Source organism: Homo sapiens, chromosome X, assembly GCF_000001405.40.
Source record: "Homo sapiens chromosome X, GRCh38.p14 Primary Assembly".
Taxonomy (NCBI): domain Eukaryota; kingdom Metazoa; phylum Chordata; class Mammalia; order Primates; family Hominidae; genus Homo; species Homo sapiens.
This window is the reverse complement of record NC_000023.11, coordinates 75058416-75071993: the sequence shown is the minus strand read 5'-3', so window position 1 is coordinate 75071993 and position 13578 is coordinate 75058416. Positions and strand designations below refer to the sequence as shown.

The window sequence follows — 13578 nt, the reverse complement described above, 5'->3', positions numbered from 1 at the left end:
ATTGTCAATTCAGAGTCTCAGGGGAAGGCTTTGTGAAGGAAGTGTCATTGAAGATTTTGTTTTAGGTCGGGTTGCAATTAGATAAGCATTCAGTAAATATTCGTTGGGTGAATTTTGTGGACTTTTCAAATACAATTCATTATGGAAAACTGCAGGGATATCATAGTCCAATATATTGAGTCAATTTTTAAAATGGAATCTACAGTACAAAATTGTATTCATACATGAAGTCTGATGAAAAGTATACTAATCACTTAAGAGAATAAATTCTAATTATACTTGCCTATAGTTATTTTTATATATTTTGTAGTATTTTAATAATGAAAGATATGAAGCACAGAGATATGATGGATTTTTGAAGACGTATGAGACTGCTTCATTGAAAAGTACCTCTACTCTGGCTATGCTGAACTTTGGTCAAAGTGCTATTTTCAGTGTCGGTTTAACAGCTATAATGGTGCTCGCCAGTCAGGGAATTGTGGCAGGTAATGAGTCTGTGGCTATCACATTTACAGGCTGTTCAACTTTTATAAATAAAGATTAATGAAAGGAATGTGCATGCTTATCTTAATTATAAAGGATGTTAAAGTGCTTTCACATCCTTGGAGTACTTTTCTCTGTATCAGAATGTATTTACTTGATGGTTTGATAATGGTTTTTTAACTTCCTTTTGTTTAGCACTGCCTCACTCACTGATTGGGATTACTGTTTGGAACTACCTGTTCTTTTAAGAACAACTTTTTTTTTTAGTATCTAGCTTTTCTAATTTCTCTTGCAGACCTGTAAAGCAATGTAATTGATTTAGTGTTTAGTTCAAAGCACTAAACTGCACTCTTTTTTTTAAGAATTACCAGGAACCTTTTAATCTTTCTCCTCCTTTTTTTAGTTGCAAAACACTTCAAAAGTAAATGTCTGTCCCTCCTTTCTGGAAACCCTCCCCACCCCCACTCAGTTAGTATTCATTCATTCACTGTGACCTAAATATGTGGAAAATCTGTGGAAAACATATTTAGGTCACAACAACATTTTGTTGTTGTTGTTGTTGTTTCATTTTGTTTCCTTCAACTTGATGTACATCAGAATGGTTTATCATCCTTAATCGTGATATCTATTTTCTCCAATTTTTAATGTATACTAATTTTTAAATTCCTGTTTTACACTACAAAGAAACCATTGCTAGTGTCTTAGGGAAAAAAACAGAAAATTTTTAGCCTTCAATTTCTATCCTCACTTAAACCATTCTTTTTTATATATTATATATAGTGTATAGGTGGGTCTTTCCCATTCCTAACGTATACTAAGTTCCCTGTATTACCTAAATCGTGGATTAATGCTTTGAAATTGAGTTGACATAAGAGTTGTTGCTGATTAAGAATATTTTGTTCCGTCGTAATAGACTATAAACCTATCGTAAATTGGAAAAGTATGTAACATTTATCTAAAATACCCTTTTTTTCTTCTGCCTTTTAAGGTACCCTTACTGTTGGAGATCTAGTAATGGTGAATGGACTGCTTTTTCAGCTTTCATTACCCCTGAACTTTCTGGGAACTGTATATAGAGAGACTAGACAAGCACTCATAGATATGAACACCTTGTTTACTCTACTCAAGGTAGACACCCAAATTAAAGTAAGTAATCTATATAGTACCTTTTCAAAAGTATGTGAACATCATCCTATTAGTAGGATTATTCTAGGAATATTCCTACATCACCACATTAGCAAACCAATTTATTTTACTTGCAGGAATTGTCAGGGGTGGGGGTGCTATCACCTGTATTAAGAGGTTGTTAGAGCTTTCACTTCTGTGTTTAAAAACCTGGCCACGCATGGTGGCTCACTCCTGTAATCCCAGCATTTTGGGAGGCTGAGGCGGGTGGATCACCTGAGATCAAGAGTTCGAGACCAGCCTGACCAACATGAAGAAACCCTGTCTCTACTAAAAATACAAAATTAGCTGGGCGTGATGGCACATGCCTGTAATCCCAGCTACTCGGGAGGCTGAGTCAGGAGAATCGCTTGAACCTGGGAGGTGGAGGTTGTGGTGAGCCGAGATCCTGCCATTGCACTCCAGCCTGAGCAACAAGGGCGAACTCCGTCTCAAAATAAATAAATAAATAAATAAATAAATAAAATCTTACAATGTTAATGAAGACTATTATACTAGAAAGTAAATTTTGTTAAGTTGAATTATTTGTACTTACACTGAATTTACTTATCTAATAATGACATGGAATATATGATTGCCTCTCCTTGCATCCTCAGCCCCTTTCCTCCCCTGCCCATTATCCCTTCTCCCTCCCCAACCCCACCTCAAAAAAAAGTTGCTCAGAAACCAAAACATTCAGGGTTTGTTTTACCTTAGCCATGAAGCGTGAGAAAACAAATCTTTAAATGCATGCTTGGAAGTGGTCTAAGTCCACTTATAAACCTCCTTCTTTTCCATTATATCCTTTTTCTTTCTGTGAATTAGAAAATTGTCTTCGTAGCTGTACTCTAGGCAGTGCGTAAAGTGGCTTTTTTTTTCTCTTCCCTGCTAGGACAAAGTGATGGCATCTCCCCTTCAGATCACACCACAGACAGCTACCGTGGCCTTTGATAATGTGCATTTTGAATACATTGAGGGCCAGAAAGTCCTTAGTGGAATATCCTTTGAAGTCCCTGCAGGAAAGAAAGTGGCCATTGTAGGAGGTAGTGGGTCAGGGTGGGTAATTTAGTTATTTGTAAAATTCTGTATTATAGGCTGATGATTCCCAATGTAATATTTCTTTCTTTATCAAAATGATTACTGTGGTTTAAAACTGGGGTTTCCTAACATTAATAGGAGCTAAATAACCTTTCTTCATCTCCAATTTCAGGAAAAGCACAATAGTGAGGCTATTATTTCGCTTCTATGAGCCTCAAAAGGGTAGCATTTATCTTGCTGGTCAAAATATACAAGATGTGAGCCTGGAAAGCCTTCGGAGGGCAGTGGGAGTGGTACCTCAGGTATTTAAAAACAGAAAAAAACAAATTTTTGGAGGATTTATTGGGTTGATCAATCCGTAACTAGAACAGTTTGAATCAAGGGATCAACATATGCTACTGAAGTAGTCAGTATTAGACCCTACCAGTGAAATTCTGGTATCAAAAGGGATTTTTTAAAAAAGGAAAAGAAAAAACTTGAAGGAAAAATCTGCATGATAGGAAGCCCTGGAATGATAGCATAATAGAATACAAAGAACACAGACCTGGATTCTAACCCCATCTCTAATTGTCATTAGTTGTGTGGCCTGGGGCCTCCATTTTCTTATCTGTAAAATAAGGATGCCATTTATCTTATAGGATAGAATTATTGTGGATTAGAGATAATAAATATAAAATACCGAGTCTATCACATAATTGTTCAGAAAACGGAAACTACTATTGTAATTTGGAGCAGTTTTCAACATAGTAGATTTATAATAATTACAAAGTAGCTTGTCTGCCATCCTCAATTTTGTATGCCTTGTTAACCACTCTGCCCTCAGTACGAAACACAGTGCCGAACCCATGTTAAACATTTAATAAACACTTACTGTGTTACTTTGGAGGGAAAATAAATTCAAAGTAAGGTCTGAGAAGTTAAGAAGTAGATAGCCTTATAGGATGTGAGCTTTTTTATGATGAAAGCTTATAGAGAGACCTGGGAATTAGTTGCAGCTAGTATGTATTATAAAGTTGATTTCTGGAGCCAGAATCAAATCCCTGGGAGAATGGATCAAAATATGGGGAGAGGAAGAACTGTAAGAGAGTGATTGGATGGGGATATGTAGCTTGCAAAATGTCCCCTAAATGATCGCACACATGGACTCTCCCCTGTCCTCTTTTTCACTGAAAATCCCACATGTTAGTCAGGATGAGTCATTTAGAGAAATTATTGGGTAACTGTGTGAGATGATGGATATGTTAATTTGTTCACTATAGTAATCATTTTACTATCTATATGTATCTCATAACATCATGTTCTATACCTTAAATATATACAATACCATTTATAAATTTAAAAAATAAATCGTATCATTTAAATTGGATTAGATAATCTAATTTAATAATTCCAGTTCTTTCTCACATACCCCAGTTACGATTTTGGAGGACTATGTGGGCCCAGAAAACTGCCTTTTTGAAAATGCCTCCTAGGTTATTCTGATATAGATGGTTCATAGATTGTATGTTAAGTAACACTAATCTAGGCTGGGCACAGTGGCTCACACCTGTAATCCCAGCACTTTGGGAGGCCAAGGCAGGCAGATCGCCTAAGGTCGGGAGTTTGAGACCAGCCTGGCCAGCATGATGAAACCCCGTCTCTAGTAAAAATAGAAAAATTAGCTGAGCATGGTGGCAGGTGTCTGTAATCCTAGCTACTTGGGAAGCTGAGGCAGGAGAATTGCTTGAACCCAGGAGGCGGAGGTTGCAGTGAGCCGAGATCGCGCCATTGCACTCCAGCCTAGGCAACAGAGCTAGACTCAGTCTCAAAAATAAAAAAGAAAAAAAAAGGAAAAAGAAACACTAATCTAAACTGTGTGTCAAGTGAACTGGATTCTGAGCTGTGACTACTTAGGATTCAGTGTCCTCATCCATGTAAATAGATTCCTGCCATTCTTTTGGGCATTGTAACAATTATCCTCATCCTTTTGGGAAGTAACACATTCACAAAGGGAAAATATACATCATCAGTAAACGAAAGACTCTCATCCTCATTGGAGGCCTTAGCAATATAAATTAAATCAACAACAGGATACGTGTCATTTTTTCACCTATCAGATTGGTAAGGATTTTGAAATTCCTAATATCCAGTTTGGGCAAGGCTGTGTAAAATGGACAGTCTCTTGTTTTGCTGGTGGAAGTATACAGCTTTCCTGACAAGCAAATTGGCAGTGTGTATCAAGTTCCTGAAAAATATTCATACCCTTTATTCCAATAATTCTGCTTCTAGGAAATTTTAGTAAGGAAATAAACAGAGATGTGAACAAGTCTTTATATGCAAATATGTTCATTACAGCATTATTTATAGTAGCATCAGTTGGAAACAATGTAAATGTCCAACAGTAAGTAGATGGTTACAGTGTTATAGGATCAGAGTCATGCAGCCATTCATAAATATTGTGTTTTTAAAGAATATTGTCATGAAAAATATGCAAATACAAAGTATTAAAAAGGAGGATAGCAAGCAAAATATAATATCCTGATTTTATTATATTAAATGAATACATTGCAGTAGAGAAAAAAGATAGAAAATATCAATGTAATATTAGATCTTGCTACATGATGGGAATATGGATTATTTAAAGTTTAATTTATTAAACATTATTGTATATATTTAAGGTATCTAACATGATGTTATGAGATACATATAGATAATTATATTACTGTAGAGAAGCAAATTAACATGTCCATCATCTCACAGTTACCCATGTTTTTGTGACTAGAGCAGCTAAAATCTACCCATTTAGCAGAAATTACACCAAAAAAATCAGTATTTATTTTATATTAGTTTTTATATTTTCAAAATTTCCATCTAGCACATTTAGCTTTTTCCTAAATATAAATTATTTTAAAATAAGCAGTTTCTGTTTATACAATGAGCTTATTGAGTTTAAGTATTGTCTCAATATGAGAAATTTTATTAATAGGTATATAAATGATTTAAATACTATTTAAAGCAATATATGAAATTTTTGGTCTGATTATGATGTTAAAGAAGATGGGTATCCTGGTTAATGTGAACAAATGGAGTCATTTTATTTCACCTAACCATAGCCTTCCAACCGTTTAGAGATTGAAAGAAAAATGGGAGATGGATGCTCACTTGAAGTAAATTAGCTTTAGTGTGCCATGTGAGAATAAGTTGAAATATCAAATGAATGCTTGAAGTGAACTTTCTCCAAAAATATATATATTGCATAAATTATTTGTTTTCTGTTTTAATATCAATGTCAAAGCTTCTTAGAAACATAGGAAAACATATTCAAACCTCGTTAGTAATTAGGGAAATGCTAATTTAAACAAAAAACACATTTTTCCCCTAAGAATAGCAACACCTAAAAATTATTAATATCCAGGGTTTCTGAGTATATGAGGAACTGGCACCCTCATATGCTATTGGTTAGCGTGTACTTATACATTATTGGTTGCTGGTAGGGCCATATTTAGAAGACATTTGGGCAATAATATCAAAGGATAAAAGTATGCTTACCTTTAAACTCATCAGTCTACTTCTAGGAATTCTTACAGAAACACACAGTTGTACAAAGTCATATACATAATGTTTTATTCCAACATTGTAGTAGCATAAACTTGGAAATCACATTAATGTCCATCAGTAGGAGAATGTATAAATAAATTATGACATTTCCATAGTATGGAATATACAACTGTTAAAAAGAATGAGTTAGTTTTCTGTTATTGACATGGACAATCTCTATGATATGTTAACTGAAAAAAGCAATTGCAAAATAATATGTGTAGAATGACCATACTTGTGTTAGGGGAAAGAAACATATGTTTAGGTATATAAATTCACAGGAAGAAGTCTGGAATGATGCACACTAAATTGTTTATGATGACTACCCCTGGGAAGGGAATGGGATTTTGCAGATGAGGGATGATGAAAGGGACTGTCATGTTTTACCCTTTATGCCTTTGTCTCTTTACTATTTGAATTTTTAATAATGAACATAAATAGAGAGAGATATATAGATATAGATATATATTCATTCAGTATATCTGCTTCAGGATGCTGTCCTCTTCCATAATACTATTTATTACAACCTCTTATATGGAAACATCAGTGCTTCACCTGAGGAAGTGTATGCAGTGGCAAAATTAGCTGGACTTCATGATGCAATTCTTCGAATGCCACATGGATATGACACCCAAGTAGGGGAACGAGGACTCAAGCTTTCAGGTGATCAGAGATTTTAGACCTGCCCCCTTCTTGTATACTTCTTTCAAACTCTAATTTGTCAGAGCCATTTTTTAGAAAATGTAATGAGAGACTTCAAATGTAGTGCTCGTTGAGTCACATTTGATTGGGTTACTAATCTCCTAGCCCTCACTATAACCAATTCAACATATTAGTAACTATTCTCAAGTCATGCAAGTCTTTTTTTTTTCACTTGCAGCTGCAAACACTGTAGGTGTTTGATATTAAGTAAGTTATCAAAATATGCTCAGATCATTACTAACTTGTTATCTACAATCTTCATGATAAAGGAAAAACAAGATCGTTCTTTACCTGGGAAAGTAGTAAGGTTAGGGAGAAGTAATTTGATAACGAATAGTGTATATCTCTCATCATAACTTCCTAGATCATTAGAAGATGTTTTCAGTACTTGAGACCTCTTTATATTTGATCCTGTTAACTGCTATACTTTCCTTACAGCCAGATTCATTTTCATGTCCTTTGTTCTGTGGCCAAGGATATTTTGAGGCTTATACATTTCTTGTTAAATGTTTAATTATGAGATTGCTAGGTTTAAGAATGAATTACCCTAAAATGACTGATTTTTTTTTTGGAGGACACAGAAAAATGTTTCTTTACCCCCAAATTATTTGAATTCAAAAGTATAGCAATGTCTAGTTTAGTTTGGGCAGGAAATGTATCGATTATAGATAGAGGTAAGGCAAAAATAGAATGAGAAATACTCTATATGAATTTTAACGAATCCACATTCCTCTTCATTATAAACTGGCTTCATTTATTAGATACACACTATGTGCAAGCTACTATGCTAAATGATTTGAAAGTTAAAAAAATGAAGCATAAACAGGCCTGTTATTCAGGAATTGGCAATCTGTTAGAAAGTTTTGGGCTAGGTTTAGAAAATTTTAAGCAAAGATTATTTCCAAGTTAAGTTGATTGGGTCATTACCTGGTAGTATAAGATGCCAGTATCATTCCAGTCCACATTTACACTTTATTACTGCTTTTAATAGGAGTAATTTCCAGTTATCTGGCCCACCCCCAAATTATGTGTCCGTTTGGCTAATTCTGGCGATCCCTAATTTATCACGTAATATGAACTAGCCCTCTTAATGCATGACTTTGCCTCAGCCAGCTATGCTGTGTTCCATTTTCTAATCTTATTTTTCCTTTCTGCATGCCTTTGAGGGATAGGAATAGCTAAAGAAATTTTATTCTTACCTATTTCTCATTTCCTTATAACCAAACCTCTCAAAATGAGCAATTTATTATTTATCATCTATGCTAATAATTATGTTAGAGAATAAACAGACATTTCTTCTCCAAGTTCCAAAATACCGTTGAATAGAATTACAACTGAGTTGGTTTCCACTTGAAATTTGAGAGGCACTTCAAAACTAGTCCTTCCTCTGAATATCTACTTCTTTGAGGAACTTTCTGCTACTGGGCTGATAGGTAGGCGGGAAGATAGTACTTATGGTACCTGCCTTGTTAGGAGAATTTTGATCCTGTGAGGTGGGGAAGCGTATGGCTAGCATAAATATAAACTTACTAATATTAAAAATAAGGAACCCCTTTATAGGCCAAAGATAATAATTGTAGAATAAGTAAAAATAAAAATATTTAATGTACCAGGTAATGGATAGAGCTTATTTCCTAATAAGCTGAAAAATATGTTTTTCAGATATTGGTAATGTATAATAGACAAGAAAAGAAGCCAAAAGGGACATAGTCAGCAGAGTACCATCTTCTGTACTTCCAACTATAGTTCTATATAAGATTGATGACCTTAGACCTACAGTAGTCTCAGTAATAAAGGTTTCTATACATTTCACTACATATTTTCACTGTTTATTTAAGAAATACTTTCTAAATATTTATTCTTGTATTTAGGAATAAATGTGGGCTTACACATTGTGATAAGAAGAGCATTGGACTGAAATGGGTCTAGTCCAGATTCTTGCTCGGTGACCTTGAGCAAATCACTTAACTTTTCTGGGCCTATATCCTTTCTATTTTAAAAATTTGATATGCTAGAGACCTATAATAAATACCTGAATAAAGGAAAAGATATCTAGTGTATGCCTTTAACTTTGAAGAATGCTGTGAAAATAATAGCTTTCTATCAAAAAACAATCCTTGAGAATACTGGCTGAATGCTACTTTTTTATCTTAAGAGACGAATTCAGTTATTCATAGTTTAATGTCTTCAAGTTTCAGGTTTCAGATATTGATTTTTTTGGCATTGTCAATTCTGTCATTGAAATTTTTCTGAGATTGCAGTTCATTGAGAATTATCTGTAATATAAAGTAACATATAATGAGCATGCTTCTGGTAGAAGAATAATAGTAGAATCAAAGTTGTTACCTTACTGCCTCATTCTCATTCTTCCCACCTGCTATGAAGTCAGAATTCAGTAGTGCATTCATGTTTCAGGGAATATAATTTGTCAAAAGATATTGTATATGAACTTCAACTCTACAACTCAGTAAAATGAACTGTGATCAGGAGAATAAGGAAATGTTCAGTGTATTACTTGGTGGTTGTAATCAATGGAAACACTAAAAACATAAAATATGCATGCACTATGCTTCCTTAAAGTAAAATTTTCCTTTACCAGGAGGAGAAAAGCAAAGAGTAGCAATTGCAAGAGCCATTTTGAAGGACCCCCCAGTCATACTCTATGATGAAGCTACTTCATCGTTAGATTCGATTACTGAAGAGGTAAGTTATGATTAAAATATAAAGCTCTTCAATGTTTAACTTTTCTACTTGGAAGTTTCAGTAAAATGGCTGCATTACTTTGTATTTTGAATAAACTTCAATAGTAAGTGCTATAGAGCAAAATGCCTATCCCCCTTTTTCCATATGGCAAGTGTTGATGGTAAGAATACCAGGTTGTATTGAACTAGAGATACCACAGTGTTAAGTCCATTTGCAAATGTGTCTCCTTTTGGAACTATGTGATACCTTATGCTGTTGTTGTATTGCCCTTGCATCTTACAAAGCTGTAGGAATCACCTGATATGCTGACAAAGGAAGAAAGTTTTAGTCTCTCTCCTATTGCCACTTAACACTCATTAAAATAGTCATGGAAGTGATTGTGAAACCTGTGACATGGTACATACCAGAAAGCCTTTCACTTATCATGGAGCGACTCATGAGATGCAAGTCAGGCACACACAACCTGCAGTGCTGGTATCAATTTGTATTCATTTCACTGGAAGTGTTATGAAACACCAAGATGTGACACTGATGTCAATGACATTGCCCCACAGCTGCATTAGATTTTATAGCAACATCTTTACATTACATACAAAAGTCTCAACAACAATGGTAATTTCATTATCATATCCCCTTAATCTAGAACTGAAGATAGGCAGATGCATTTGTCAATTGCCTTCATTCAACTACCTTTTAATTCAATACATAGTATAAAGCTAGTGTTGAAGGATAGGCCTAATTCAGCTTTGCAGGCTGTGTGACATAATATTTTCATACGGAGTTAAGTTTCAGGGCCCATTGTTTGATCTGCAGCATATTTAAAGCAATTTAATTTTGAAGTGAATTGGTTAGCATATATTTAAAGTGACCCATAAGCAGGACCAGACCCCATTCACAGGAAAAATAGGAACATGCTTATAAGAACTTTTTACCTAAAAATGTGTCATACTACCACAAACTAAAAGACCTACCAACAGTCATTATTTGAGTCACACAGCTTTATTATGTCAGAGAGCATAACCCATTAAGAGCCAATAGACAACCCGCCAAGGGGAGGAGTTATTAGAAGATGTGGTAAATTTTAATGGGCCTTTTTAAAAAGTCCAGAGTCTTCAGTAGGATGTCAGAGTTTAAGTTGTTAAAGGTTAAAAAAGGAGTCCTCACAAACATAACAGGCTTTCTTAGTATTGGCCTTGTACCTTATTATCAGTCTGCCCTAGTAAAATAAGATCTTTTCCTGGGTAACCATCTGCTCTTGATAATTTTATTCCTTTAATAAATAAAATGTTCAGAAATATCTGTAGGAAATTTGGGTATATCCCCATCCCCCACACTGCTATTTCCATCTAGCTTGCTGTACTTAGACCCAGGTTTCCAAGTATAGCTGAATATATGTACAACTCTTATACTTTACAGGGAATAAACAAAAATGTATTTCCCGGATGCGTTAGGAAGTCAGAATGCTTTTGAAAAAGAGGTTTCTGCAGTTAAAAATATACAGTTATCATTGTTTCCCCTTCTGTCCACTGAGTTTGAACTAAGGAAAAGCAAATGTTCCTATACTCTTTGAATCTCCCTATCTCTGGATTATTTTGAATTTCTCTGTGTCCTGTCACTTAAGTCTCTCCTCATTTTAGTTTTGTTCTCATTGGTAAACATTATATGTGGCTATGTTCCTGATATCACAAGAGTTGTTTATTTGTACTTGTATAGAAAATATCTACTTTCTCCCAGATTTTGTAACTTGGAGAAATGTTGCCTAAGAATTTTTTTCCACGATAATGTGATCATAGTTGCCTTCTCTTTTTGCTTTCTCCTCTTCCTTTTAGCAGATATTAGATTAGGTCTAATATTTGGTATCAGTATAAAGTTACATACTAAAAAAAAACTGGCATTTTTTATGTTCCTTTAGGAAATGTATGATTATTTTAATTTACATTTGCCTAATGTGTACTTCTTTTTATTTTCTCCTGTTCTTCATATTACCAAACTTGCAGACTATTCTTGGTGCCATGAAGGATGTGGTCAAACACAGAACTTCTATTTTCATTGCACACAGATTGTCAACAGTGGTTGATGCAGATGAAATCATTGTCTTGGATCAGGTAAGACATTTAACTTTAAAGTTTAGTATTTGAGGAACACTGGAAATTGTTATAGATACAAGAAGCTTAAATATTGTTTCTTACATTATTTGGTTGAGACTGAATCCTGTTACGATTCTGTTTTTAGCCCCTTTTGATTGGAAATAATGCATGTCACTTCCAAGAAGGAATAAAGTATATTAACTCACTCTTTATTAAAGTATTATAAGCAAAAGTTTAATCAGGAAAGCATTAAATCTTCACGATAGAAGCAGGTTTTTCAATGGTGCATATATAAAATAACTTTTCTGCCTTCAGTTTTGCTCTGAATAGACTCTTTGCTTGGTGTCTTTGCTGTATTATATGTTTTTGTTTTTCTAATACCTGCACATACCCTTGATGGTTAAAAGAAAATTACCATAAAATAAAGTGGTCATTTTCAAACATGGTCATTTTTATTTTATGTTTTTCCTTTTCGGGAAAGTAAGAAAAAAGATAGCCTGCTTTATCTCTTCTAAGGGAATTACTATATGAGTATACTGTAAAAGTCTAGACAAATCAGAGTACCACTATTGTGATGGGTAGATTTGAAAATTGCAATAATTTTTCTTTTCTTCTTTCTGTAAGGACCTCTTCTCCCCACACCCCTCTAGTATTTGATTATTTCTAACATTATGCAGTTTTCCACCCTGCATTCAGCCTTTTCTGTAATTATTTTTCCCTTCTAATAAATATATCTTCAATTCTTTATCATTTTGGTTTTTTTTTTTCCTTTTTGAGGCAGGGTCTTACTTTGTCACCCAGGAGTACAGTGGCGCGATCTCGGCTCACTGCAGCCTCGAACTCCTGGGCTCAAGCAATCCTCCCACCTCAGCCCCCCAAGTAGCTGGGACTATACAGGCATGTGCCACACACCTAGCTAATTTTTTGTAGAGATAGGGTTTCACCATGTTGCCCAGGCTGGTCTTAAACTCCTGAGCTCAGGTGATCCGCCCACCTTAGACTCCCAAAGTGCGCTGGGATTACAGGCGTGAACCATCACACCTGGTCACATTTTGAAAACCTGTGTACTAAGAGTTTAGAGAGAAGCATTCTCATGTACTGTCTGTATATTGAGCTATTTAAAGGGACTTTTTCACTCCACTAACATTTCTTATAGGGTATTCAGTGTTGTGGTTTGTATACTATTACCTTCATAAGTTGCTTACATACTTGTGACCCTAGGCCTTTCTGTTGGTTTGTTCTTAAATATTTATATTCATTACCAAACTGATTTTTCCAGTATGGTTGTACCAGAATGTCTTAAATGGGAAATTTTGTAAATAATACCTTATTATATCATTGATGTTCAAGAATCTTAAATAAAATCTGCTACTTTTTTATAAGCTTTCTGATTCTATGCAGCCAAGTAGTAATAGCCTTTTATTACAAATAGAAGTTGTTAAAATACGTTAGCAGGCATGTGATTACCTGCCTCATGCCATGTAATTACCTGCCTCATGCCATGTAATTCACAGTATCTATACACTTATTTTACACCATTGCCACTTGGGTTTTGGGTTATAATTGGACCTAATTTATTAATGATCATAGCAACTGTATCTAAACAAGAATCTCTTTATTATTCATAATTTGATGATTCTATAGTTGTCTGATTATGAAGATAACAGATTTTCATTTTCTAGTGAAACTAATATGACCTTAGCTTTGACTAATAATCTGTCACCTCCTGTGTTCTGTCAGCAATTTCTTGTAGTAGTGTTAATGTTAAGACGGCATATCTAGGGAACTTCTAGTTAAACATGGAAGGTTGGATACATTTGTTTAT

General features: G+C 34.5%; 1 protein-coding gene across 5 annotated transcripts in view; it reads left to right on the top strand.

The window, feature by feature from the left end:
• ABCB7 (ATP binding cassette subfamily B member 7) overlaps positions 1-13578 on the top strand; it is a 105236-nt gene that overhangs the window by 84290 nt on the left and 7368 nt on the right. For all 5 annotated transcript variants that reach the window (NM_001271698.3, NM_001271697.3, NM_001271696.3 and 2 more), the window contains 7 exons: positions 311-485; positions 1472-1629; positions 2540-2703; positions 2858-2987; positions 6753-6924; positions 9563-9666; positions 11664-11771. In NM_001271698.3, coding sequence (NP_001258627.1) covers positions 311-485; positions 1472-1629; positions 2540-2703; positions 2858-2987; positions 6753-6924; positions 9563-9666; positions 11664-11771 — 1011 coding nt within the window. The remainder of the gene's footprint in view (positions 1-310; positions 486-1471; positions 1630-2539; positions 2704-2857; positions 2988-6752; positions 6925-9562; positions 9667-11663; positions 11772-13578) is intronic.